We start from the raw sequence: 26139 nt of genomic DNA on the forward strand, positions 1-26139 counted from the left end.
AATGAATGAATGAATGAATGAGTGAATGAATGAATGACAGGGAAGGCGCTTCACCGGAAAGGCTGAAGGAGGTCTCCCAAGGACCGCTGTGAGGAAACGGGGGGCGGCGTGGGTGGGTGGCCGCTACCCACGGTTCCGGACGGCCCTCGGGGGCGCGCTCGGGCGGCTTCCAGCTTCCGGGTTCGAGGGCGCGCGCTGCTTCCCGGGAGAGGGCGGGCTCCGTGGCAGCCCCCTGTGGGCGGAGCCGGCGGCCGGGGCTCACAACCCGCCGGAAGACGCGCGGGTTGTGGCAGCTGCAGCGGGACCGCGTGGGGTGGGCCCCGGGACCGCCAGGGCTGCAGCGAGAGCGGCCGGCGGTGCAAGCGGCCGGGAGGGCGCGGCCGGAGGCAGAGGCCAGGCGAGACACCCGGCTGCGGCCTAAGAGGCCAGGCTGGGTGGGCTTGGCTGCAGCCGCCAGCCCCGTGTTAAAGCGGCAGCCAGGGAGGTGTATCCTCCCCGGGGTCTGCAAGACGCCGGCTCAGGGCATCCCTCCCATTCCGGCCCTCAAAGCCTCGCTCCTGGGGGCGCTGCTGGGAAAGCCCACCCGCCTGGGCGGGCCCTTGATGGGAATGTGGAGCAGACCCTCGTCCACTCCGGAGGCCGAGGGTCCTCCGGGCTTCCGAAGGAAGCCGACCTCAACGCTGGACGCTTCTTGGAGAATGATTGCGTTGAGTGGAGATGTGGTCTGTCTATAAAAGGCCGGGAGGGAACAATATCTGTTACCACTCAGTCCGTCTCTAAAGAGACACTCTTTACCGCTGAAAACCTCAAGAGTGAGCACTCCCACGCCCCCGTCTCTGGTCCTACCTGGGTCCAAGGCCGATGTGGTGAGTAGGAGTCTGTGTGCAGTCTTTGAGTCCGAGGGTGGCATGTCTGGGAGCACTGTGAGGGTGGGGCATCTTCGATATGAAGCTTCTCAGCCATTAACTGTTTCCCGAGTAAGATTCGAAAATTCGTGCACTTTGGTAACAAGACTTTTTATGTATTCAGGGGTGGGATATTTCTCACAAGCTCCAATTCCTAGAACACACGCAGCTCCTGTCTCTGCATATAGTCACACACACACACACACACACACACACGCCTATAAGTCACATACCCATCCTTCTCCAACAAACTTCAAAAAGTTGGGCCAGCTCCCTTCCCACGTAGCTCCGACTGTTCTTGGAGTGCCGTATACTTTGGACCTGGTCACGGTCAAAGCACCTGCTCAGATTCTAGGGTTTGGTTGAGATGATGGATTTGAGTTGTTTCCAAATTTGCCTATTACTATTCTGCAGTAGTCCTCATTATACTAAATTTACACCATTTGAAGACATACCCTCTTCCCCAATTTTAACATTTCTGAAACCAAGATGCATCTTCCCAGTGTGGTTCCAAGGAACTTGCCAGCTGCTGGGCATCTGCGTGGGTGGTGACGTGGCTGTCACTGCTTGTTCATGCCAAAATGCAGCTATGTCATTATTCTGTCAGTTGAGATATTTTGAACTTTAAATTCAGATTTAATGGTTTCTAAAAATAACTTTAAAAATTAATACTATGATTCAGCAATATGATAACAGGTTTATAACAATGTTCATTAAGGGTTTACTGTATGCCTAGCATTGTCTCAACCAACATTACAACTCTATAGAATACAATTATTATCTCCATTTTATAGATTAAGAAACTGAAGCTGAGAGTTGAAGTGTCATAGAGCTTTTAAGTGCAAGTGTCAGGTTTCTAAGCCAGGCTGTCTGATTTCAAAGCCTGCCCTCTTAAACCCCGTCTGTGTCCAGGCAGAAGATGCATGCAGCTTACAAGGAGGGAAGATGAGGCATGGTCTGTGCATGTTTGTACATCTTTGCATGTTTGTGTATGTATGTATAGAACTGGAGATAGAGCCACGTCCAGGAACATGTATTATATTTATTCCTGCATGGATATTTTTCTTTTGGGTATTTTGCAGTTTTAAATATATTTCTGCAGATTCTGGAGTTCTGGAGACAAGTGCTTCTGGATCCCTCTTCCCTTCCCTTTTGCTCCTCTAAAGAGTATGGAGACATGAACTCAAACCTAACTAACTGGCTGCCTCCCAAAGAAAGTGCTTGATTTAAAGGGGAGTTTGTTTTCCAGAATTGTTAAAGTCACATCAGTCTCTAGGAACCCCCAGGTCCTGGTGCTGCAGGGACACACCAGAGTCCTGAGGGCAGGTGATTGGAATCTGAGCAACACCCCACAACTGTGAAGCGTCTCATCAAGAGCTTCTGGCAATTTCCTCACCAGAAGTGGACAAGTCCAGTAAGGCAGGCATCATGCCACAGCAGCTCCTGATCACCCTGCCTACCGAGGCCAGCACCTGGGTGAAGCTGCAACATCCAAAGAAGGCCGTGGAGGGGGCGCCCCTGTGGGAGGATGTGACTAAAATGTTTGAAGGAGAAGGTGAGAATGGACTGATGGAGGGGGAAGAAGGGGATCTCATTTGTGTGTGAAAAGATAGGTACACACTTCATTGAAGTGGAGAGAAGGAGGGAGAGAAGGTCTCTGGGGGTTCATTCTTGTGGTTTTTGGGAAGGGGACAGCTGTGAGGGAAAATCTTGGGGTCCAGCATGGACTCCTTGTGACACGTGCTTGCAGCTGCTCTCATCTCCCATCTTCAAATACTACATGTAGCAGGAAGACAGAATACAAGGTGTTCCCCACCAGTGGTGCCTGAGTGTGGGAATGTGATTCACAGACAGGTCTAAGATTTCTGCCCTCCTTAAGTCCTCTAAGGGTTTTCCTGCACAGGTTCCAGTCATTTTAGCCCCAACCCAATATTTATCACAAGTATCAGTTTTTTCTTTTCATCTGCTGAGAGGCAGGAATGACATGCCAGATTACTCTCATGTTACCTTGAACTGTGGGAGAGATGCCCAACAATCACACCTTATTTAGTGGTCTGGTTAGGAGTAAATAGAAGGATGGAGGAAGTCATGTGTCTCATGTGGTGTTTTAATTCATACCTTTAATGCTTTACACTCAGCCAGTATTTATTGTTCTAGCTGTGTCAGGCAGGGACTTTGGCTAAACATCTTAAAAGATGGAAAAATGAATAATTATCTCTAATTCTGATTACCAATGGATTGAGATAGGCATACACCTCAATCAAAATAATAGAAAGCAGCCTAAGAAAAGTTATTTTGGAACACAAGCGACGGAAAACTTTGTTCTGGTTGTGATTTTTTTTTTTTTTTGGTGATGGAGTCTCGCTGTGTCGCCCAGGCTGGAGTGCAGTGGTGCAATCTCAGCTCACTGCAACTCCTGCCTCCCAGGTTCAAGCGATTCTCCTGCCTCAGCCTCCTGAGCAGCTGGGACTACAGGTGCCTGCCACCACGCCTGGCTAATTTTTGCATTGCTTTTTACATATTTGATAGCAGTTTTTTTTTTATTGGTTACAAAACCTAAGCCCATATACAGAATTAGGAACACAGTTAGATGCCTCTTTTGAAAGAACATTTTAGTCTTTTTAAACTGAGTTAAAAAAAAAAAACCATGCAATTTTCAAACACTGTTTTGAAAACTTAAAAGTGCAGCAATATACTTAGTTTCCTTTATCTACAAAATGGTGCAATTCCACTTCAAAACTGGTAAGGTCACAACAAATTGAATCAAGGAAATGCATACAAATGTCTGCACTACTTGATGCTAATGTTTATTTGAATGTTAGTTTGTACTTTCAAACATGAGAGGAAATAGGAATCATCACAGTAGAGGCCCAATTTTAATCATAATGTGTGCAAATTTAAATTAAAATTAAAAGGTAGTCAGTTAAGGAAAGTCCAGAAGAAACTAAACTGGAAGGAGTACAATTCACAATATCAAGAAGATTTGGACTTCAAGGGTTTCATCGAAGTTTGTGACCTTAATTAGCTTTTACGTTGTTACAGTTTTTATATTTTTAGTAGAGCTGGGGTTTCACCATAATGGCCAGGCTGGTCTCGAACTCCTGACCTCGTGATCCACCTGCCTCGGCCTCCCAAAGTTCTGAGATTACAGGCATGAGCCACTGCGCCCGGCCTGGTTGTATGTATTTAAGAAATTTTCACAGAGCAGGTAGCATTGATTTGGGCCTTGAAGAATGTCTTAGGTTTTTTGTGTAGATTTGGGGAAAGGATACAAAAGTGGGTGCCTTGAAGAAAATGGGGCATCTTTAGTCTGACTGAGAATCTTTAGTCTGAAAGACTAATAATGTGGTGGGTGGGTGGGTGTGTCCCAGGTATAAAGTAGCAGTACCCATTGTTGAGAAAATATGCTTTGGGCAGATTGTAGAGTGCCTTGAAGTCCATGGTGAAGTGTTTGGATTTTTCCTTCTTGTCAGTGGGGAACCTTTGAGGATTTTTGAACAAAGGAGTGGCCTGTTAGAGCTGTGCTTTTGGACCAGTATTGACCATTGGTAGAGTTTTTTGGAGGGGGGAGTGGGATTTAAAGGATTCTCCATTTAAATACTTTGTTCTCTCATACATAGTTTTTGATCACTGGGAAACATTAATGCCCAAAGCGACTTGCAGCAGGTCCTCCTCACTAAGGAGGCTTCAGGCTGCTCTTGAGTCACTCTCAGTGTCCCTCTTTGTGAACCTTTTTGGGGGAGGAGCCACATTGAGTGGGTCTGCAGGCAATTTCTTTATTTGGGAGATTTGGGGAGATGCAAAGCTCATGGCTCTTTTCCTTCCCCAGCTCTGCTGTCTCAGGATGCTGAGGACGTAAAGACCCAGAGAGAAAGTTTAGAGGATGAAGTGACCCCTGGACTCCCGACAGCAGAATCCCAGGTGAGTAGGGATTCATCTCATTTTCTTGACATTGCTTCTCCTGTTTTTAGGGTATATAACCTGTCTTTTTTGCAGAGGTGGGAGTGGTGGTGAGGTAGGGTATTAAGACTAACAAATTCAACCTAAGGAGCTCAATGCAAGTTGTCCTTTTACAGAAAATTGGGCTCCAGTGGTGGCAATTCCCCTACTTATAGGGGTCTCCCTCCATGTCACTCTTGTTTCTCACCAACATCTGAATCTAGTATGATGCTACTTTCTATAAAGAAAGTGAAATGAGAGATATAATTCTAGCCCCTAAAAACCAACCGATACCACATGAGATCTAAGAGAAATCTCAATGAAATACTCAAAATCAAAATGTGTAAGAAGGTTCTTTCTTAGTGATGTACATGAATTACTGTGAACTTTGAGAGGTGACCCTTAGTGTAATATTGAAAACAGAGGTCAAACCAGAACCAAAGGAGAAGTGAGTAGAAAAGAAATAGGCCACACAGTGCACACATCAGACGGGCTGGCCAGAAAAGCTAGAGTAGCCACTGAGAGCAGCTACAACAGCATGTCACAAATGGGATAGTCAGTACTGCCTATCGGAAACAGAGATGAAATGGAAGGAAAATTGTAGAATAAATGTGAAAGAAAGACTTAAAAGAGGAGATCTTATTGGAGGACAGAAGGGTTTGAAGTGAAATGAACTGGAGTGCTGAAATTAGATGGTATAACATTTGTCTAGTTGCTCAGTGATCTGGGGCAATTACTTTAGCTTTTGTTTTTTTTTGAGACAGTTTCAAGTTTAAAGTAAAAAGATGAAAAAAGCTATACCGTACAAACAATAATTAAAAGAACATTGGAGGCATATATTATATCACGCAAAGTGGACTTCTGGAAAAGGAGTATTCCTAGGCAAAAAGGGACATTTCATAATAATAAGAGGGTCAACAATTCTAAGTGTTTATACATGTGATGACAGAACTTCAAAATAAAGCAAAATTGACAGAACTAAAGAGAGATATAGACAAAATCACAGTAATTAGAAACTTTAACACTTCTTTCTCAGTAATTGATGTAACCAGTAGACAAAAACTCATCAAGGATACAGAAGATTTGAACAACACTATCAACCAATTTAACCTAATTAACACTTACGGAACACTACGTCTAACAACTACAGAACATATATTCTTTTTAAAAATAGAGATCTCATTTTTAAATGAGATCTGCGGGTGGGGTGGAATAAACTGGTGGATCAACTGGGGGTGGAGTGGAATACCGTTTAAAAAGGGGCATGAAGGAACGTTCTGAGATGGTGGAAATGTTCTCTATCTTGATTACATTATGTTACATATGTCAAAATCAAACCATACACCTTTTTTAATTTTTTTTTTTTTTTTTTTTAGAGACTGAGTCTCACTTTGTAGCTCAGGCTGCAGTGCAGTGGTACAATCATAACTCATTGCAACCTCAAACTCTTGGGCTCAAGCAGTTCTCCTGCCTAAGCCTCCCAAGTAGCTAGGACTACAGGAACATGCCACCATACTTTGCCAATTAAAAAAATGACAGAAAAAATAGGGTCTTACTATGTTGTCCAACTGGTCTCAAACTCTTCAGCTCAAACAATCCTTCTGCCTCGGCCTCCCAAAGTGCTGGGATTACAGACGAGCCACTGCACCCAGCCCAAACTGTACACTTTCTTAGTGTATTTTCCTGTATGTAAATTGTACTTCAGTTTAAAAAAATTTAATCCTTTAAACCCATCAGTTTATGATAAATGTAGGAAGTGAAAAATTCCAGATAAGTAGAATGTAGCGATAACTCTTCAGACTATTATCGTTACTTCTTCCATATTACTAGAAATAAAGCTGCAATATATTCCAATCCTAGATGGCAGATATTAGCATTTGACCTTCTTATTTGAGGACACTGAGATTGTAAAAAGCTTAAGTGGCCGGGCATGGTGGCTCATGCCTGTGGTCCCAGCACTTTGGGAGCCAGAGGCAGAAAGATCACCTGAGGTCAGGAGTTCAAGACCAGCCTGTCCAACATCGAGAAACCCCGTCTCTACTACAAATACAATATTAGCTGGACGTGGTGGTGTGTGCCTGTAATCCCAGCTACTCTGGCGGCTGAGGCAGGAGAATCACTTGAACCCGGGAGGCGGAGGTTGCATGAGCCGAGATTGCGCCATTGCACTCTAGCCTGGGCAACAAGAGCAAAACTCCGTCTCAAAAAAAATAAATAAATAAAATAAATAAAACAATCAGTATGGTTGGGTCTAAGTGTATACTTTTGTTTGCTATTTGTCCTATCTAGCCTTTGTTTATTTGTTTCTCTTTTCCTGCCTTCTTTTTGTTTGGTTTTGTTTTTTAAAGACAGAGTCTCCCTCTGTCACCCAGGCTGGACTGCAGTGGTGCGATCTCAGCTCACTACAACCTCCACCTCCTGGGTTCAAGCGATTCTCCAGCCTCAGCCTCCCGAGTAGCTGAGATTACAGGTGCCTGCCACCACACCTGGCTAATTTTGTATTTTTAGTAGAGATGGGGTTTCACCATGTTGGCTAGGCTGGTCTCAAGCTCTTAACCTCAAGTTACCTGCCCACCTCAGCCTCCGAAAGTGCTGGGATTACAGGTGTGAGCCACCGTGCCCAGCCTTTTTCTGCCTTCTTTTGCATTGAATCATTTTTCCAGTATTCCATTTGATGTCCTCTAATGACTTTTAAGCTACAGTTCTTTGATTTTTTTTTTTTAATTGAGACAGAGTCTTGCTCTGTTGCCCAGGCTGGAGTGCAGTGGTGCAATCTTGGCTCATTGCAACCTCTACGTCCTGGGTTCAAGCAATTCTGCCTTAGCCTCCTGAGTAGCTGGGACTACAGGCGCGTGCCACCACACCCGGCTAATTTTTTTTTTGTATTTTTAGCAGAGACGAGGTTTTACTGTGTTAGCCAGGATGGTCTTGATCTCCTGACCTCGTGATCCGCCCGCCTCTCCCTCCCAAAGGGCTGAGATTACAGGCATGAGCCACTGCGCCTGGCCTGCTTTTTTTTTTTTTTTTTTTTTTTTTTGATATGGAGTTTCACTCTTGTTGCCCAGGCTGGAGTGCAGTGGCATGATCTCGGCTCACTGCAACCTCTGCCTTCCAGGTTCAAGCGATTCTCCTGCCTCAGCCTCTCGAGTAGCTGGGATTACAGGCTCCCACCACCATGCCTGGCTAATTTTTGTATTTTTAGTAGAGACTGGGTTTTGCCATGGTGGCCGGGCTGGTCTCGAAATCCTGACCTCAGGTGATCCACCCACCTTGGCCTCCCAAAGTGCTGGGATTACAGGCGTGAACCACTGAGTCTGGCCAGTTCTTTATTTTTAGTGGTTGCCCTAACAACCACTAAAAACAATCATATTATATGTGAGGCCATATAATATTAATTCAAAGTAACTGTGGAATGTTACAAATGTATTTAACATTACACATGTTACAAAAGTAACATTCCACAGTTACTTTGAATTAATGTTTTATGGCTTCACATATCATATGAAAGACTTACGTTATATTTTCATATACTCCTTCCCACTCTTAGTGTGTTGTCAATATACATTTTGTTTTACATGTAAAAACACCACAGTATATTGTTCTTAATTTTGCTTTTAATAGTAAACTGTCTTATAACAAATTATGAAAATGGAAAAAAACATGTCTTTCTTATTTGCCCTCATATTTATCCATTTAGGCACTCTTCCTTTTTCCCTTTCATTCCAGGTTTCTATCTTGCATCATTTCCCTTCAGCTTAAAGAACTTTGTTTAGCATTTCTTATAATGTGGGTGTTCTGGTGACAAATTCTCACTTTTATTGATCTAAACATTTCTTTATATTATCTTCCTATTTGAGGATCTTATTGGATAAAGAATTCTAGGTTGACTGCTTTTTCTTTAAGTAGTTTAAAAATGTTCCATTATCTTTTAGATTGTATTATCTGTGATGAGAAGGCAGGTGTTATTCTTTTTATGTGATGTATCTGTTTTATATCAACTTTTATCTGATGTGCATAGGTGTGATTTGTTGTTGTTGTTGTTGTTTTTTGAGACGGAGTCTTGCTCTGTCACCCAGGCAGGAGTGCAGTGGCATGATCTTGGCCCACTGCAACCTCCACCTCCTGGGTTCAAGCAATCCTCTCACATCAGCCTCTCAAGTAGCTAGGATAACAGATGTAAACTACCACACCCGCCTTATTTTATTTTATTTTATTTTTTATTTTGTGTATTTTTAGTAGAGATGGGGTTTCACCATGTTGGCCAGGCTGGTCTCAAACTCCTGACCTCAAGTGATCTGCCACCATAGCCTCCCAAAGTGCTGGGATTACAGGCATGAGCCACTGTGCCTTGCTGTGATTTTTGAGTTTATCCTTTTTGGGGTTTGCTGAGCTTCTTGGATCTGTGGGTTGATTTTTTTTCCTATTAGTTTGGAAAATCTTCAGCCATTATTTTTCAAATATTTTTTCTACCTATTCCCTCTTCTGAGATTGCTCTTTCTCCCTCCCTGCTTCCCTTCCTCCCTTCCTCCCTCCTTTCCTCCCTCCCTCCCTTCCTTCCTTCCTTCCCTTCCTCCCTCCCTCCATCCCTCCCTCCCTCCTTTCTTCCTCCCTCCCTCCCTCCCTCCCACCACTACCTCTCAGGCTTAAGTGATCCTCCTGCCTCAGCCTCCTGAGCAGCTGGGGCTACAAGTGTGCGCCACCATGCCTGGCTAATTTTTGTATTTTTTTTTGTAGAGACAGGGTCTTCCTATGTTGCCTAGGCTGGTCTCAAACTCTTGAGCTCAAGCAGTCCTCCTGCCTTGGCCTTCCAAAGTGCTAGGATTACAGGCAGGAGCCATCCCACCTAGCCCTGAGATTCTAATTACATGTATAATAGACCACTTGATATTATCCCACAGATTTTTTTCTCTTGGTACTCTAGTTTGAATAATATTTATTGACCCATCTTAAGTTTCACTGATCTTATCTCATCATGGTCTAATCTACTTTAAGCCCATCCAATGAATTTTTAGATATTGTCTTTTTCACTTGTAGAATTTTCATTTACAGTTGATTTTTTTTTTTTTTTTTTAAGATGGAGTCTTGCTCTGTCACCAGGCTGGAGTGCAGTGGCGAGATCTCGGCTCACTGCAACCTCCGCCTCCCGGGTTCAAGTGATTCTTCTGCCTCAGCCTTCCGAGTAGCTGGGACTACAGGCATGCACCACCATGCCCAGCTAATTTTTGTATTTTTAGTAGAGACAGGGTTTCACCATGTTGGCCAGGATGGTCTTGATATCTTGACCTCATGATCCGCCCGCATCAGCCTCCCAAAGTGCTGGGATTACAGGCATGAGCCACTGCGCCCGGCCTACAGTTGATTCTTGAGCAGCGCAGGTTTGAACTGTGCAGGTCCACTTCTATATAGACTTTTTTCAATAAATATATTGAAACATTTTTTGGAGATTTGTGACAATTTGAAAAAACTTGCAGATGGACCATGTAGCCTAGGAGTATCAAAAAAATTAAGAAAAAGTTAGGTATGTTATGAATACATAAAATATATGTAGGTACTAGTCTATTTTATCATTTACTACCATAAGAGATACACGTATCTATTATAAAAAGTTAAAAATTTTCAAAGCTTATGTGCACAGACTATTCATGGTGCCATTCTCAGTTGAGAGAAATGTAAACAAATGTAAAGATGCAGTATTAAATCACTACTGCATAAAATAAACTATAGTACACCTAGTGTATTAGTATGATAATTTTATAGCTATCTCCTGTGGCTATTGTAGTGCGCTCAGGTGTTTCAAGTATTTACTTAAAATTCAGTGTGATGCTAAGCATCTCTGCATTAGCACTTCATCTCTCCGGTAAATTGCATATCACAGTAAAAAGTGATCTCTCAGGCCGGGCGCGGTGGCTCACGCCTGTAATCCCAGCACTTCAGGAGGCTGAGGTGGGCGAATCACCTGAGGCCAGGAGTTCGAGACCAGTCTGACCAACATGGTGAAACCCGGTCTCTACTAAAAATACAAAAATTAGCTGGGCGTGGTGGCGTGCGCCTGTAATACCAGCTACCTGGGAGGCTGAGGCAGGAGAATCACTTGAACCCGGGAGGTGGCAGTGAGCTGAGCTCGCACCACTGCACTCCAGCCTGGACAACAGGGTGAGACTCTGTCTCAAAAAAAAAAAAAAAAAAGTGATCTCTAAGCCGGGCACGGTGTCTCATGCCTGTAATGCGAACACTTTGAGGGGCCAAGGCAGGAGTGCATGTGTATATACATACATACATGTGTGTGTTTTGTATGTATACACACACACACACACACATAGTTTATTCATGTGTTTTGATTTGTTCTATTTCCAAACCCTTTCGTCTCTCTGGTGGTTAAGGTGAGGGGCTCCTCCTAGAGCTGTGGCTGAGCTCTGGCTATCATGCAGCTTTAATTTGATTGAGTATACTTCTGATTAGCCCATGCCACAATTGCTGAGGGCTTTTCTTTTTATCTTTTTGGCATTTGAGCTTAGGAAGGGATTAGACTACAGTTCCAGACAGTTTTGTTCATTTTTGCATTAAACTCCAGCAGGGCCTCAGAATTCAAGTTCAGTAAGAATGCACAGGTCTTTGTGACAATAAGTGCGTGAGGTGGTGGGGGAACCCCTATCCCACCCTGTTCCTCATCTCCACCTCTCTTGATTTCATTTCTTTCCACTCTCTCATCAACCAGCCTACCTCCAGCCATGCTGTTCACTTTCCTGTTCCTCAAGCCAAGGACACTGTCACCTTAGGTCCTTTGCACCTGCCCAGGATGCTCTTCTCTCAGATTTCCATGTGGTTCTTCCCTTTACTGAATTTATGTCTCCGGTCAAACATCACCCTTTTAGAGAGTCTTCCCCAACCACTTTACATAAAAGATCATCCTACCCTCACTGTGGTTCTCCCAATGTCTCTTATCCTGCTTAATTTTTTTCTAAGGTATGTATCACCATCTGTCTTTCTATATATTACATTATTTATAGTAATCTCCAGATTAGAGATCCAGACAGACTACAGTTCCAGACAGTTTTGTTGATCAGATTTGGAGATCAGAGGATCTCCAAACAGATCCAGAGAAGGCTCCTGATAAAAGTAAGTTTAGAATCTCTCAGAATTTAGAATACTGTCAGAACTCCTTGGAACTTAACAGAGGTGGTCTCCGGCTAAAAATGAATGTATTTGATGTTCTAGGAATTGTTGACTTTCAAGGACATATCTATTGACTTCACCCAGGAAGAGTGGGGGCAGCTGGCTCCTGCTCACCAGAATCTATACCGAGAGGTGATGCTGGAGAACTACAGCAACTTGGTGTCAGTGGGTAAGACTTGGCTATCCATGCATCCAGAAACCCACCCATTACAGGAGAGTCATTATTTTAAATTATTGATGTGTAGATTCCTTGAGGCTTGATTTGGGTTCTGTATTAAAGATGTCTTATTCCCTTTGAAAACCAAGTGAGGGCATATCCAATTTGACTTTCTTGGGGAACAACTTTACTACACATAGTTAGGATAGAAAGACCCACCCCTTTCCACTTGTGGAGACCCTGAATACCAGAAGACTCAAAATTCTGAGGATGGTTCTTAGACATCAGCATAAACATTCACACTGTTTTTTTTACTACATAAGCAGGATATCAACTTTCCAAACCTAGTGTGATATCCCAGTTAGAGAAAGGAGAAGAGCCATGGATGGCAGAGAAAGAAGGCCCAGGAGATCCCAGTTCAGGTGAGACCAAGTGTGTTAGTCTGTTTTTGTGTTGCTATAAAGGAATACCTGAAACTTCATAATTTATAAAGAAAAGAAGTTTAATTGGCTAATGATTCTGCAGGCTGTACAGGAAGCATGGCACTGGCATCTGCTCCTGGTGAGGGCCTCAGGAAACTTACAATCATGGTGAAAGGCATATCACATGGTGGGAGCTGGAGCATGAGAGTGAAGGAGGAGGTGCCAGGCTCTTTTTCTTTTTCTTTTTTTTTTTTTTTTTTTTTTGAGACAGAGTCTCGCACTGTCGCCAGGCTGGAGTGCAGTGGCGCAATCTTGGCTCACTGCAACCTCCGCCTCTGGAGTTCAAGCGATTCTCCTGCCTCAGCCTCCCGAGTAGCTGGGACTACAGTTATGCGCCACCACGCTCAGCTAATTTTTGTATTTTTAGTAGAGACAGGGTTTCACCATGTTGGCCAGGATGGTCTTGATCTCGACCTTGTGATCTGCCCACCTCGGCCTTCCAAGGTGCTGGGATTTCAGGTGTGAGCCACTGCGCCAGGCTGGTGCCAGGCTTTTTAAACAACCAGATCTCATGTGAACTCAGAGTGAGAACTCATTACCATGGGGAGGACACTCATTCATGAGTGATCCACCCCCATGACCCAACACTTCCCACCAGGCCCCACCTGCAACACTGGGGATCACATTTCAACATGAGATTTGGAGGGGATAAATATTCAAACCAAATCACCAAGGCAGATGGAATTTTAATATGTAGGTCAGAGTGCTCAAAGCCTCGGCTGTGGGGAGGGCTCAGACCACTGGACAGAGCCTCCACTAAACTAATATCACCCGTCCCTTCCTTACCCCTTTCCTTCACTGAGCCCTTGCAAAAGTCCCCTGGAGTTGGAGGAAAGAGCAGTCTTGTCCTCATTAAGGTTGAGCTGGATTTTCCCTTTCTCCAGTATCCTAAGGGCTGCCAATCTAAAGCTTTCTCTAAGCAGTCAAATGTATGTGGTATTTTCACAGAAAACCAATCTCTTTCCAAGACTCCCATTGCATTCTACAAATCTTTAATTTTCCTGCACTCCATTTTTACTTCTTGCCAATGTTCATTTTACAATTCCAGCTTCGATTCTCATTCTCTTTTTAACTTATGTATCTTTTTTGTAACAGCTACTTATGAAAACTCCTGTAAGAGAAATTACCAAAGGATTCCTTCTCAACCAAATGTCGGGGTCCCTAACAATCTCCTCAAACTTTGCTTTTTATTCTGAAATATTTTAGACACTCAGAAAGGCATAGAAAACATTATAACACATTTCTGTGTAGCTTCCACCTAGACTAAGAAATGAAACACAGTTGAAGCTCCACTGTCCCCCTTACACCTTTTGAAATAAGCACTCTGCATTGAAATATTATTCCCATGTCTTCGTGCTTTTATTACATGTATAATGTAGTAAAAGCAGTCTATATATCAGTGTATACATACTAAACAATATATAGCATTGTTTTGCATGTTCTCTTTCTTTAAATAAATGGTATATATACTTCTTCCTTTTGCTTTTCTCATTCAACACTGGTGATATTCCTCAGTATGTTATTCTAGTTCATTCAATCCATTGAGTTAATAAACCACAATGTTCTTATTCATTTTCCTGTTGATAGACATTTACATTGTTTCCAAATTTGGGAGTTACAAAGATGCTACAGCAAACCTTTGTGTACATAACTTCTTGTATACATAATGCAAGTGTTTCTCTAAGATAGCTGGTAGAAGCAAAATTGTTGGGTTGTAGAATATATGCACTTTCATTTTGCTAGGTATTACCAATTTGCTCTTCAAAGCAGTTACACCAGGTTATTCTCCCATTAACAGGGTTTGAGAGTTTCCATAACTCAGCATCTTTGTCAACATTTGTTATTGTCAAACTTTAAGATTTTTGTAAATTCACTGGGTTATGGTATCTTGTTTCTTTCATTTTCCTGATTACCAGTGAAAGGAAGTATATTTCTCATGTTCATTGACCATCCATCCATCTCTTCTTCTGTCCTTACTCTAATGCCAGGCTCTTCTGTTAATTACCTGTTTATATCCCTTGCCAATGTTTCTATAATCTTTTTTTCTTATTGATTGGTAGAAAAAAATGTGTGTGTGTATGTGTGTGTGTGTGTGTGTGTGTATATATATATATATTCATTCTAGTATAATTATACATATATTCATTCTAGATAATAATCCTTGATAGCTTTATGTTTTGCAAATGTTTACTCTAGGTCAGTGGCCCATCTTTGACTTTTCAAAATTAGTGTCTTTTGTTAGACGTGAGTTTCTAAATTTAATGTTACTGAATTTATCAGGATTTTCTTTATTGTTTGTGCTTTTTAAGAAACCCTTTTATGCCTTATTATTCTTTTTTGTAAACTTTTTAAATTGTTTTTAGAGACTGGGTCTTGCTATGTTGCCCAAGCTGGCCTCGAATTCCTGGGCTCAAGTGATTCTTCTGCCTCAGCTACCTCACCTACTAAAGAGGCTGAGGCAGGACTACAGGTGCATGCTGCTGTGCCCTGCTATCCTCCATTTTATCATATATGTGGATCATACATATATGTTTTTACATATTCCTGTATTTTCAAAGTTTTGCTTTCCACATTTAGGTTTAATTCATCTGGAATTTATTTTATATAAATAAATTTGTATGTATGAGGTGGAAATCTGATTAACTTTTTCCACATGGATAATCAGTCCAGGAATAGTTAATGCTGCTCTGTCACCTGTCAAGTTTCTTTATATGTTTGGGTCTGTTTCTGTTTTGTATATTCTTTTTCTGTCGTGTTTCTCTCTTTATGTTGTTTTATTCTTTTGTTTTTCTGTCCTTACTCTAATGCCAGGCTGTCTTAAAAACTGTATCTCATAATGAGACTTAATATGTGGTAGAGGTAGTTCACCCACCTTGTTCTTTAAAGTTGTTCTGGTTATTCTTGGATCCTTGTTGTTCTATTTGAATTATATAATCAGAGCATCAAATCACACCCACAAATACTCTGCTGGCATTTTGATTGGAATAGAATTGAATTTCTAGATCAATTTTGGGGGAGTTAACATTGTTATGCTATTGAATCCTTCCAGGAATATGATATAGCACTCCATTTATTGATATTTCCTAATTTTTTTCAGTAACATTTCAGGATTTTCTCCTGTACATATTGTACATTTTTTGTTAGATTGATTCTGAAAATCTTATATTTTGTTGCTACTGTAGATGGTATTTTTTTTCCTTTTCTTTTCCCTGAGCCTCAGTCGTGAACAGGTATATTTTTAAAGAAAGATTATGTTGCTGGCCAGGTGCGGTGGCTCATGCCTATAATCCCAGCATTTTGGGATGCTGAGGCGGGCAGATCACCTGAGGTCAGGAGTTCGAGACCAGCCTGACCAACATGGTGAAACTCCATCTGTACTAAAAATACAAAATTAGCCAGGTGTGGCGGTGCATGCCTGTAATCCCAGCTACTCGGGAGGCTGAGGCAGGAGAATCGCTTGAACCCGGGAGGTGGAGGTTGCAGTGAGCCAAGATCACGCCGTTGCACTCCAGCCTGGGCAACAAGAGTGAAACTCTGTCTCAAAAAAAAAAAAAAAAAATTATGTTGCTAGTAAGTAATAACAAAATTGATTTTGAATATTGACCTTTTATACAGCCACCTTGTTTTACTCTTATTAATTCCAATCACTCTTTGTATATTTTCCTGGGTTTTCTCTTCCTCAACTTACAATAATGAAAATAATAATAAAAGCTACCATGAATGTTCTTTCCCAGCCTCTGGATGAAATCTCAAAGAGTTCCATTGATGATCCCGTTCCTTTAAATAACAAGAACAGTCTTGACTTTAGTAAAATGCCTATTTAGTTCAGTGCAATAATAAAAACTCCCAACTTCATTCAAAACTAAACCCTCTCTTCTTCCCCACTAGCTTGACACTCCCTCATGCTCGGATACTGAATTAGGGAGGGATGCATAAATGGCTTCTTTTCTTTTCCCCCATCATCTTCTTTTCCTCCTCCGCTATTCAAGACCAGAATCAGGGACCTGCAGAGCATAGATATTATTAGACATTATTATTGCCTGTTGTCATTTAGAATTTGACATTTTGAATTGCTAATGATCCATCTGTGTTGGCTAAAAAAAATCTTATAAGAAATTAAACCTTTCAGGAATACATAAAGACCTGTCAGTTGAAATATTAGTAATGGTGCAACAAATTTATCAAGTAAAAATCTTAAAGGTTAAAGGGTATTTTCCTAGAACCTAGCAGCAGTAACAGCATAGCAATCTGGGTTTCTTACAAGTCTCCTTTGTATAAGTAATACTTCCATGAACATATTAATAACTATAGAAAGAGAAATATATATATATACACACACACAAGTTTCAATAAAAGACAGCATAATGTTCTTGTGTGTATTCTTAGTTCAAACTGTATTTTCTGAACGAATGTCTCCTGCTGCTGCCAGAGTGGGGAGGGAAACATCTTCCTTTTATCTTTCTGAGATTGTTTTCCAAAAGTAGTTGTCAATTAAAAATACTTATATTCTTAAGTCATAGCTCTGAAATTTTATTACTTAGTATTATTAGAGCAGGACTAAAAGATTCAAAATTTTTTTTTTTTTTTTTTTTTTTTTTTTTTGAGACGGAGTCTCGCTCTGTCGCCCAGGCTGGAGTGCAGTGGCGGGATCTCGGCTCACTGCAAGCTCCGCCTCCCGGGTTCACGCCATTCTCCTGCCTCAGCCTCCCGAGTAGCTGGGACTACAGGCGCCCGCCACTACGCCCGGCTAATTTTTTGTATTTTTAGTAGAGACGGGGTTTCACCGTTTTAGCCGGGATGGTCTCGATCTCCTGACCTCGTGATCCGCCCGCCTCGGCCTCCCAAAGTGCTGGGATTACAGGCGTGAGCCACCGCGCCCGGCCCAAATATTTATATGATATTTATAAATATTTGATATATTTATAAATATTTTATATATAAAATATACATTATATATAAAATATATATTTATTTATATTTATATATTTATAAATATTTGGTATATAAAATATACATTATATATATATAAATATATATCAAATATATATATATATATAAAATGACACTTTTAACCTGTTCACTGTTTCTTAATTTCCTTTCCCATTACCTCTCCAAGCAGCATAATCATATTTAAATATAGTCAAAATCTCATGCACTTATCCATATTGTTGTCTAAATCTCTGTTCCATAACCACTACAGTAATTGGTTTTTAAAGCTTTTTTTCATTTCTTTCAGACTTGAAGAGTAAAATAGAAACCATTGAGTCAACTGCAAAGAGTACCATTTCACAGGAGCGCTTATATCATGGCATTATGATGGAAAGTTTCATGAGGGATGATATAATTTATTCCACGTTGAGAAAAGTCTCCACATATGATGATGTCTTAGAAAGGCACCAGGAAACTTGTATGAGAGATGTGAGACAAGCCATCTTGACCCATAAGAAGAGAGTCCAAGAAACTAACAAATTTGGGGAAAATATCATTGTGCATTCAAATGTTATTATTGAACAGAGGCACCATAAATATGATACACCTACAAAGCGGAACACATACAAATTAGATTTGATTAATCATCCAACAAGTTACATAAGAACAAAAACCTATGAATGTAATATATGTGAAAAAATCTTCAAACAACCTATTCACCTTACTGAACATATGAGAATTCATACTGGTGAGAAACCTTTCAGATGTAAGGAATGTGGAAGGGCCTTTAGTCAAAGTGCATCCCTCAGTACACACCAGAGAATCCATACTGGTGAGAAACCCTTTGAATGTGAGGAATGTGGGAAAGCCTTCAGACATCGCTCATCACTTAATCAGCATCATAGAACTCACACTGGGGAGAAACCCTATGTATGTGATAAATGTCAGAAAGCTTTCAGCCAGAACATTAGCTTGGTTCAACATTTGAGGACTCATTCTGGAGAGAAACCTTTTACTTGCAATGAATGTGGGAAAACCTTTAGACAGATTAGACACCTTAGTGAACATATAAGAATTCATACCGGGGAGAAGCCCTATGCATGCACTGCATGTTGTAAAACCTTTAGTCATAGAGCGTATCTAACACATCACCAGAGAATCCATACTGGGGAGAGACCCTACAAATGTAAAGAATGTGGAAAAGCCTTTAGGCAGAGGATACACCTTAGCAACCATAAAACTGTTCATACAGGAGTGAAAGCATATGAATGCAACCGCTGTGGAAAAGCCTATAGGCATGATTCATCCTTTAAAAAACATCAGAGACATCACACTGGAGAAAAACCTTACGAATGTAACGAATGTGGAAAAGCCTTCAGCTATAACTCTTCACTTAGTCGACATCATGAAATACACAGGAGGAACGCCTTCCGAAATAAGGTGTAAAAACAGATATTTGACTTGAGAACAAAAGCCAAGTGTAAATTGGTGATTTAGAGTGCTTTAAAATTTCAGGACTCAGATATGAGGAATTGATGTAATGATGCCAACTTTTAATTTTTCCCATTGTAAATAAACATTACATTGACAGGTATTGACTACTAACACCTCTAAAAAGTACTTAAGATTAAAATCTGGTCCTTAAAATTAAATGAATTCAGCATTATGAAAAATTCATAACAGTTTTTTTCTGATTTCATGGTGGATTAATAAATTATTCTTCATGGGTATTCATGATTTGCAGACCAGCATTTGGGAACTATAGCTTAAAATATCACCAACCGTATTTTTTAAATTAAAATTTTATTTTTTTGGCCAGGCATAGTGGCTTGTGCCTGTAATTGGGAGGTCAAGGAAGGAGGATCACTTGCCAGAAGTCAAGACCAGCCTGGACAACATAGCAAGACCCATCTCTGCAAAAAAGTTTTTAAAAAATTAGCCAGGCATGGTAGCATGCGCCTGTAGTCCTAGCTGTGCAGAAGGCTGAAGCAGAAGGATCACCTGAGCCCAGGAGTTCAAGGTTGCAATGAGCTGTGATCACCACTGCATTTCAGGTGGGCAGCTATAGAAAAGAATAAGTAGGCACTTTATATAGTGAAGAGGAATGACATCTATGATATATTGTTTGGTTTTTGTTTTTGAGACAGGGTCTCACTCTGTTGCTCAGGCTGGAGTGCAGTTGGTATGATCATGGTTCACTGCAGCCTCAATCTCCCAGGCTCAAGCAAACCTCCACCTCAGCCTCCCAAGTAGCTGGGACCACAGGTGAGTGCCACCATCACACCTAGCTAATCTTTAATTTTTTTTCTAGAGACAGAGTATCACTATATCGCGCAAGCTGGTCTCAAACTCCTGGGCTCAAGCAGTCCTTCTGTCTTGGACTCCCAAAGTGCTGGGATTACAGGCATGAGCCAAGGCAACCGGCCTATATTATCATGTAATAAAAGTAACATGCAGGCTGCGCGCAGTGGCTCACGCCTGTAATCCCAGGCGTCTCTACAAAAAAGAATAAAATAATGTATTTTTTAATGGGGAAAGCTTTCACATGGTGTAAAGTCCAGAAAGTGGAAACAATTATATGCAGTGAAAAGCCGCCTTCCTGTATTTCCCACCATAGATTTCTATATAGAGGCAACCATTTTTAATAATTTTTTGTGCATCCATTCAGCTTTTTAAAATTTATATCCAAGAGAATACAAATATACGGTTTTCCTTTGTCTTTTTGTTGTTGTTTGTGTTTGTTTTGAGACGGAGTCTCACTCTATTGTCCAGGCTGGAGTGTGGTGGCGGGATCTCAGCTCACTGCAGCCTCCGCCTCCAGAGTTCAAGTAATTCTCCTTCCTCAGCTTCCCGAGTAGCTGGGATTATAGGCACCCACCACCATGCCTAGCTAATTTTTGTATTTTTAGTAGAGACGGGGTGTCACCATGCTGGCCAGACTGGTCTTGAACTCCTGACCTCAGGCAATCCGCCCACCTCGGCCTCCCAAAGTGCTAGGATTACAGGTGTTGAGTTAACCACGCCTGGCCTCCTTTGTCTTTTTAAGCAGAAATGGCCACCTCCTATACAAACACATCTGCATGTTCTTTCTGAGACAGAGTCTCACTCTGTCACCCAGGCTGGAGTGCAGTGGCGCAATCTCGGATCACTGCAACCTCCACCTTCCAGGTTCAAGCGATTCTCCTACCTGAGCCTCCTGAGTAGCTGGGATTACAGGTGCGTACCATCACACCCAGCTGATATTTGTATTTTTAGTAGAGATGGGGTTTCACCATGTTGGCCAAGCTGGTCTCAAACTCCTGACCTCAGGTGATCCACCCACCTCGGCCTCCCAAAGTGCTGGGATTACAGGCGTGAGCCACTGCGCGCAGCCTGCATGTTACTTTTATTACATGATAATATAGGCCGGTTGCCTTGGCTCATGCCTGTAATCCCAGCACTTTGGGAGTCCAAGACAGAAGGACTGCTTGAGCCCAGGAGTTTGAGACCAGCTTGCGCGATATAGTGATACTCTGTCTCTAGAAAAAAAATTAAAGATTAGCTAGGTGTGATGGTGGCACTCACCTGTGGTCCCAGCTACTTGGGAGGCTGAGGTGGAGGTTTGCTTGAGCCTGGGAGATTGAGGCTGCAGTGAACCATGATCATACCAACTGCACTCCAGCCTGAGCAACAGAGTGAGACCCTGTCTCAAAAACAAAAACCAAACAATATATCATAGATGTCATTCCTCTTCACTATATAAAGTGCCTACTTATTCTTTTCTATAGCTGCATAGTATTCCATGGTATAAATGTACTCTAACACTTCACTATGGATGGATTTTGTTTCAGTCTTTTGTTTATACAGTGTTCAGTGAATAGTCTTACACATTTTTGTTTCACACACATGTAAGTATGTAGGGTAAATTCCTAGAACTGGAATTTCTATGTTAGAGAGTATGTGTGGGGGGTTTTTTGTTTGTTTTTTGGTTTTGTTTTTTTTTTTTTTTTTGAAACATAGTCTCCCAGGCTGGAGTGCAATGGCACAATCTCGGCTCACTGCAACCTCTGCCTCTTGGGCTCAAGTGGTTCTCCTGCCTCAGCCTCCTGAGTAGCTGAGATTACAGGCATGTGCCACCATGCCCAGCTAACTTTTGTATTTTAGTAGAGACAAGGTTTTGTCATGTTGGCCAGGCTGGTCTTGAACTCCTGGCCTCCAACAATCCACCTGCCCCAGCCTCCCAAAGTACTGGGATTACAGGTGTGAGCCCCTGCACCCGGCCGAGAGTATATGTGTTTTTATTATGGATATTGGCAAATGGACCTTCATAGAGGTTTGGACGTATTTATTTTCCCACCGGCAAGATATGTAACTGTAGGAGCCATATCTGATGCTGAAGCATCTCCTACACCTGGATCAACAGACCTGTCTGCCATCTGAGGGGCATCAGCTTGTTTCAATAACATGGCCTAGAAGGACCAGCTGAGCTGCACCCCCTAGAAACAGTGACCACTTCCCAAACCTGGAGCCAGAGAGGAATCTGCATCTTCTTGATTGGTAGCCAAGTTCACCAAAGTCTCAGCTCGAGGAGACACCTTTCCACCAACTGCTTCAGTCTCTGACTTATGAGGCTGGAACTATTTGATGGATGAGAGTCTTTTTAAGGAAACGGGTTCTTTTAGATTATAAAAGATAAAAGGATCGGTCTCTTTAAAAGGACTCATTGCTGTGAATATAATCTTGGCTGCAATCCTCCTGATTGGAATGGAAGAGGACTGATGATTGAGGCAAGGTATTTAGGATGGCAGGGTCTACCATGACTGATAGTCTGAACATACATAGCATTTTACAGGATGCTTGTGTTAGTGAGTTATAGTTAACACATGGAAGGAGACAGCAGGAGACACAACTTTCTAATAAAAATGAATGAGCATTAATTAAAATTGCTTATGATGTGGTGAAAGCTAAATAGCAAAGCCAGCACCACAGTGATTTTGTTTTTTTTGTTTGTTTGTTTTTGAGACGGAGTCTCTCTCTGTCGCCCAGGCTGGAGTGCAGTGGCGCGGTCTCGGCTCACTGCAAGCTCCGCCTCCTGGGTTCACGCCATTCTCCTGCCTCAGCCTCCCGAGTAGCTGGGACCACAGGTGCCCGCCACCACGCCCAGCTAGTTTTTTGTATTTTTAGTAGAGACGGGGTTTCACCGTGTTAGCCAAGATGGTCTTGATCTCCTGACCTGGTGATCTGCCCGCCTCAGCCTCCCGAAGTGCTGGGATTACAGGTGTGAGCCGCCGCGCCTGGCCAGTGATTTTGAACATTTTATTTTTCAATCTGATAACATTCTATGAAAGTTTTAGTGATTCTGTGTTAATGGATTTCCCGTCAGGTCCCTCCCCACAGCCGCTACTTCAGTTACAATCCAAAGCCTGGCACTTAAGATCATCATTAGGTGTAGTCCTACCTTATAGCTTCAACTTCCATTTACTTTTCTCCTTCCCATATGCGCTCTGACCAAAGTCAGTATGTTAGGATTCTTTAGGTTGCAAATAACTAGAAATCAACTGGGGCTACTTGAAGCCTCAAAGAAGGATGATGTTATTAGAAGGATATTGGGGTATCTCATGGAATTCAGGGGCTGTGATACATGCTAACAGTGGACTAGGACCAGGTCTTGAAGGACTTTGGGAAACCCAAATCGTTTTTTCCTCTCCATTTTTCACCTCTGTTTCTGTCTTCATTCTGGCCCTGCCTTTTTAAACACCTGACTGCAAGTCATGGTTACTGTCAGTTCCATATTTTACATATATTCAGTTTCCATCACCCAGACAAAAGCTGTCTTCTCTTTCTCATTTCCAGTGCAAAATTCTTAGGGTAAGGATTCTTATTGGCCCAGCTAGGTCAGGTGCCAACCCTTAAATCAACTGTAGGCAGAGATGTCAGCTTTTATGGGAACCATATGGATGGAGTAGTGGCTGGAAGGGCAGGAGAGCAGTTCCCAGAGGAAGGGTTTAGTGTTTATAGAGTTCCAAATCTTAACCATTCTTCAATGCCAGCTCATGGGATCAGGATTTTAGCACTGAGAAAGGTTTAGGAACTCACCTAATCTAAACCCATAAATGGAGAATAACCATCTTCAATTACTCATATCCTATAACTGAGACACATTTTTTAGCACATTTATTCCAAATTTTTCATCGTAGCTTTCCATATACCTGCTTTTAATTGGCCGAATATAGCCACACTTTGCCATTTTTAAGACGTTTACTTCTTAGGTTTACTACTGCTCCAGGGAGCCTTATGTTATGCTTCAGAGCCTACCCACTGACTTGGCTTGTTATCGGTGCCTGTTTGTTTATTCTGTTTACCTCATAGGCACTAATCCCTCCCTTTGCTGATCACAGAAATGTCTTTCTCTAGGGGTGTCAGTAGGCATAGTCTCTTGTCTAGCTAGACATTTTGTCTGATTTTTTTTAAGTGTCGCTCTGTCCCCTAAACTGGAGTGCAAGTGGCGTGATCTCGGCTCACTGCAACCTCTGCCTCCCAGGTTCTAGCAATTCTCATGCCTCAGCCTCCCGAGTAGCTGGGATTACAGGCATGCACCACCATGTCTGGCTAATTTTTTTGTATTTTATAGTAGAGATGGGGTTTCACCATGGTGACCAGGCCAGTTTCAAACTCCTGACCTCAAGTGATCTGCCCACCTCGGCCTCCCAAAGTGCTGGGATTACAGCTGTGAGCCACTGCACCTGGCCTGTCTGATTTATTTTATTGACATCCCAACACTTCTTTTTTAAACGCTAATTTTATTTGTATTTTTTATTTTAAAGACTGGGCATTGCTCTGTTACCTAGACTGGAGTGCAGTGGCCCAATCATAGCTCACTGCAGCCTTGAACTGGGTTCAAACGATCCTCCCACCTCAGCCTCCCAAGTAGTTAAGACTATAGCTTCACATCACCATGCCCAGCTAATTTTTAACATTTTCTGTAGATATAGGGGCTCACTTTGTTGCCCAGGCTAGTGTCAAACTCCTGGCCTCAAGTGATCCTCCCACCTCAGCTTCCCAAAGTGCTGGGATTACAGGCATGAGCCATCACGCCCAGCCCCAACACTTCTTACTCTGTATCTCTATCTTAGAAATCTCTCCTGAGCTCCAGATCATTGTATTCAACGTCCAGCTGGATATCTCCACTTGGATATCCCATAGTCACCTCAAAGTCAATATGTCCAAAACTCAACTCATCATCTTTTCAATAAAATCTGTATTCCGTAATCCAGGAAGTGGTACTACCTCTACCCAATTCTCCAGCTTAAACTTCTTCCTCTCATCCATTACCTCCCCCGATCAGTCACCAAGTCCTGTATATTCTCCTCAGTCTATCTTTTTCTCTCCATTCCCATTACCAATGTGTTAATCAGGTTCTTAGCACTTTCTAACTGCTTAAAAGATACCAAACTGGTGTTTCTATTTGTAGTTTGGATTAATCTCTCTAGCCTCCCCACTGCTTCTAGAGTAATCATTCTAAAACATATGTCTAATCAAACCACATCATTGCTTAAAATCCCTCAATGATTTCTCATTACTTTAAGATAAAGGTAAGCCTGAGCAATATAGTGAGAACTTCTCTCTACGAAAATTTAAAAATTAGGCCAGGTGTGGTGGCTCATGCCTATAATCCCAGCACTGTGGGAGGCTGAGGCAGGTGGATCACCTGAGGTCAGGAGTTTGAGACCAGCCTGGCCAACATGGTGAAACCCCATCTCTACTAAAAATATAAAAAGTAGCTAGGCGTACTGGCGCATGCCTGTAATCCCAGCTACTCAGGAGGCTGAGGCAGGAGAATCGCTTTAACCGAGAGGTGGAGGTTGCAGTGAGCTGAGATCGTGCCACTGCACTCCAGCCTAGGGGACAGAGCAAGATTTCGTCTCAAAAAAAAAAAATTTTTTTTTTCAATTAGCTGGGCATGGTGGTGCATGCCTCTAGTCCCAGCTACGAGGGAGGCTGAGGTGGGAGGACTGCTTGAGCCCAGGAGGCAGAGGCTGCAGTGAGCCAAGATTGCACCACTGTACTGCAGCCTGGGTGACACAGCAAGACCCTGTCTAAGAAAAAAAAAAAAAGGTAAATTTCTTAGTACAGACCACTTGGTATAGAGCATCTCCTATTTGTCTAGAAGTGGCTCCCAAATTTCCACCCAAGCATATTTTGCTTCAGCTATAAAGATCTTATGGTTCCCTAAATATTCCATGCTATTTCATGGTTTCTGGTCCTCAATGGTGCAATTTCCTCTTCTGTCCAACTTCTCTTTTTTTTCTTTTTTCTTTTTTTTTCTTTTTTTTGAGACGGAGTCTCACTCTGTCACCCAGGCTGGAGTGCAGTAGCACCATCTCGGCTCACTGCAACCTCTGCCTCCTGGGTTCAAGCGATTCTACTGTCTCAACCTCCCGAGTAGCTGAGATTACAGGTGCTGCCACCGTGCCTGGCTAATTTTTTTATTTTTAGTAGAGACTGGGTTTCGCCATGTTGGCCAGGCTGGTCTCAAACTCAACCTCAGGTGATCCTCCTTCCTTGGCCTCCCAAA

At 42.3% G+C, this 26139-nt stretch overlaps 1 protein-coding gene and 1 long non-coding RNA gene across 7 annotated transcripts in view, besides 1 other annotated feature; one reads left to right on the forward strand and one right to left on the reverse strand.

The window, feature by feature from the left end:
- Positions 1-470: a silencer, noted in NCBI's record as "silent region_729". NCBI's record gives its function as "represses an Ori minimal core promoter by ATAC-STARR-seq in GM12878 lymphoblastoid cells {active_cell/tissue: GM12878}" and the evidence as "EXISTENCE:reporter gene assay evidence [ECO:0000049][PMID:35858748]".
- On the forward strand, positions 262-19315 carry ZFP69 (ZFP69 zinc finger protein). Of its 6 annotated transcripts, none has more exons than XM_005270809.5 (6): positions 262-866; positions 1988-2460; positions 4735-4826; positions 12060-12186; positions 12498-12596; positions 17893-19315. In XM_005270809.5, exons 2-6 carry the CDS (start codon positions 2334-2336, stop codon positions 19029-19031), a joined length of 1584 nt encoding a protein of 527 aa, XP_005270866.1. In that variant the 5' UTR covers positions 262-866; positions 1988-2333; the 3' UTR covers positions 19032-19315. The 6 variants fall into 6 exon arrangements, with proteins under 6 accessions (XP_005270866.1, XP_006710669.1, XP_006710668.1 ...); XM_006710606.4 differs by having other exon boundaries at positions 12501-12596; XM_006710605.4 differs by having other exon boundaries at positions 2008-2460.
- The window catches only part of EXO5-DT (EXO5 divergent transcript), a 17671-nt gene continuing 5528 nt past the window's right edge, over positions 13997-26139 (reverse strand). Inside the window, exon 2 of the long non-coding RNA NR_187365.1 lies at positions 13997-16660. This is a non-coding gene — a long non-coding RNA (EXO5 divergent transcript). The remainder of the gene's footprint in view (positions 16661-26139) is intronic.

This window comes from Homo sapiens, chromosome 1 (genome assembly GCF_000001405.40).
Source record: "Homo sapiens chromosome 1, GRCh38.p14 Primary Assembly".
In the NCBI taxonomy this organism is placed as follows: Eukaryota; Metazoa; Chordata; class Mammalia; order Primates; family Hominidae; genus Homo; species Homo sapiens.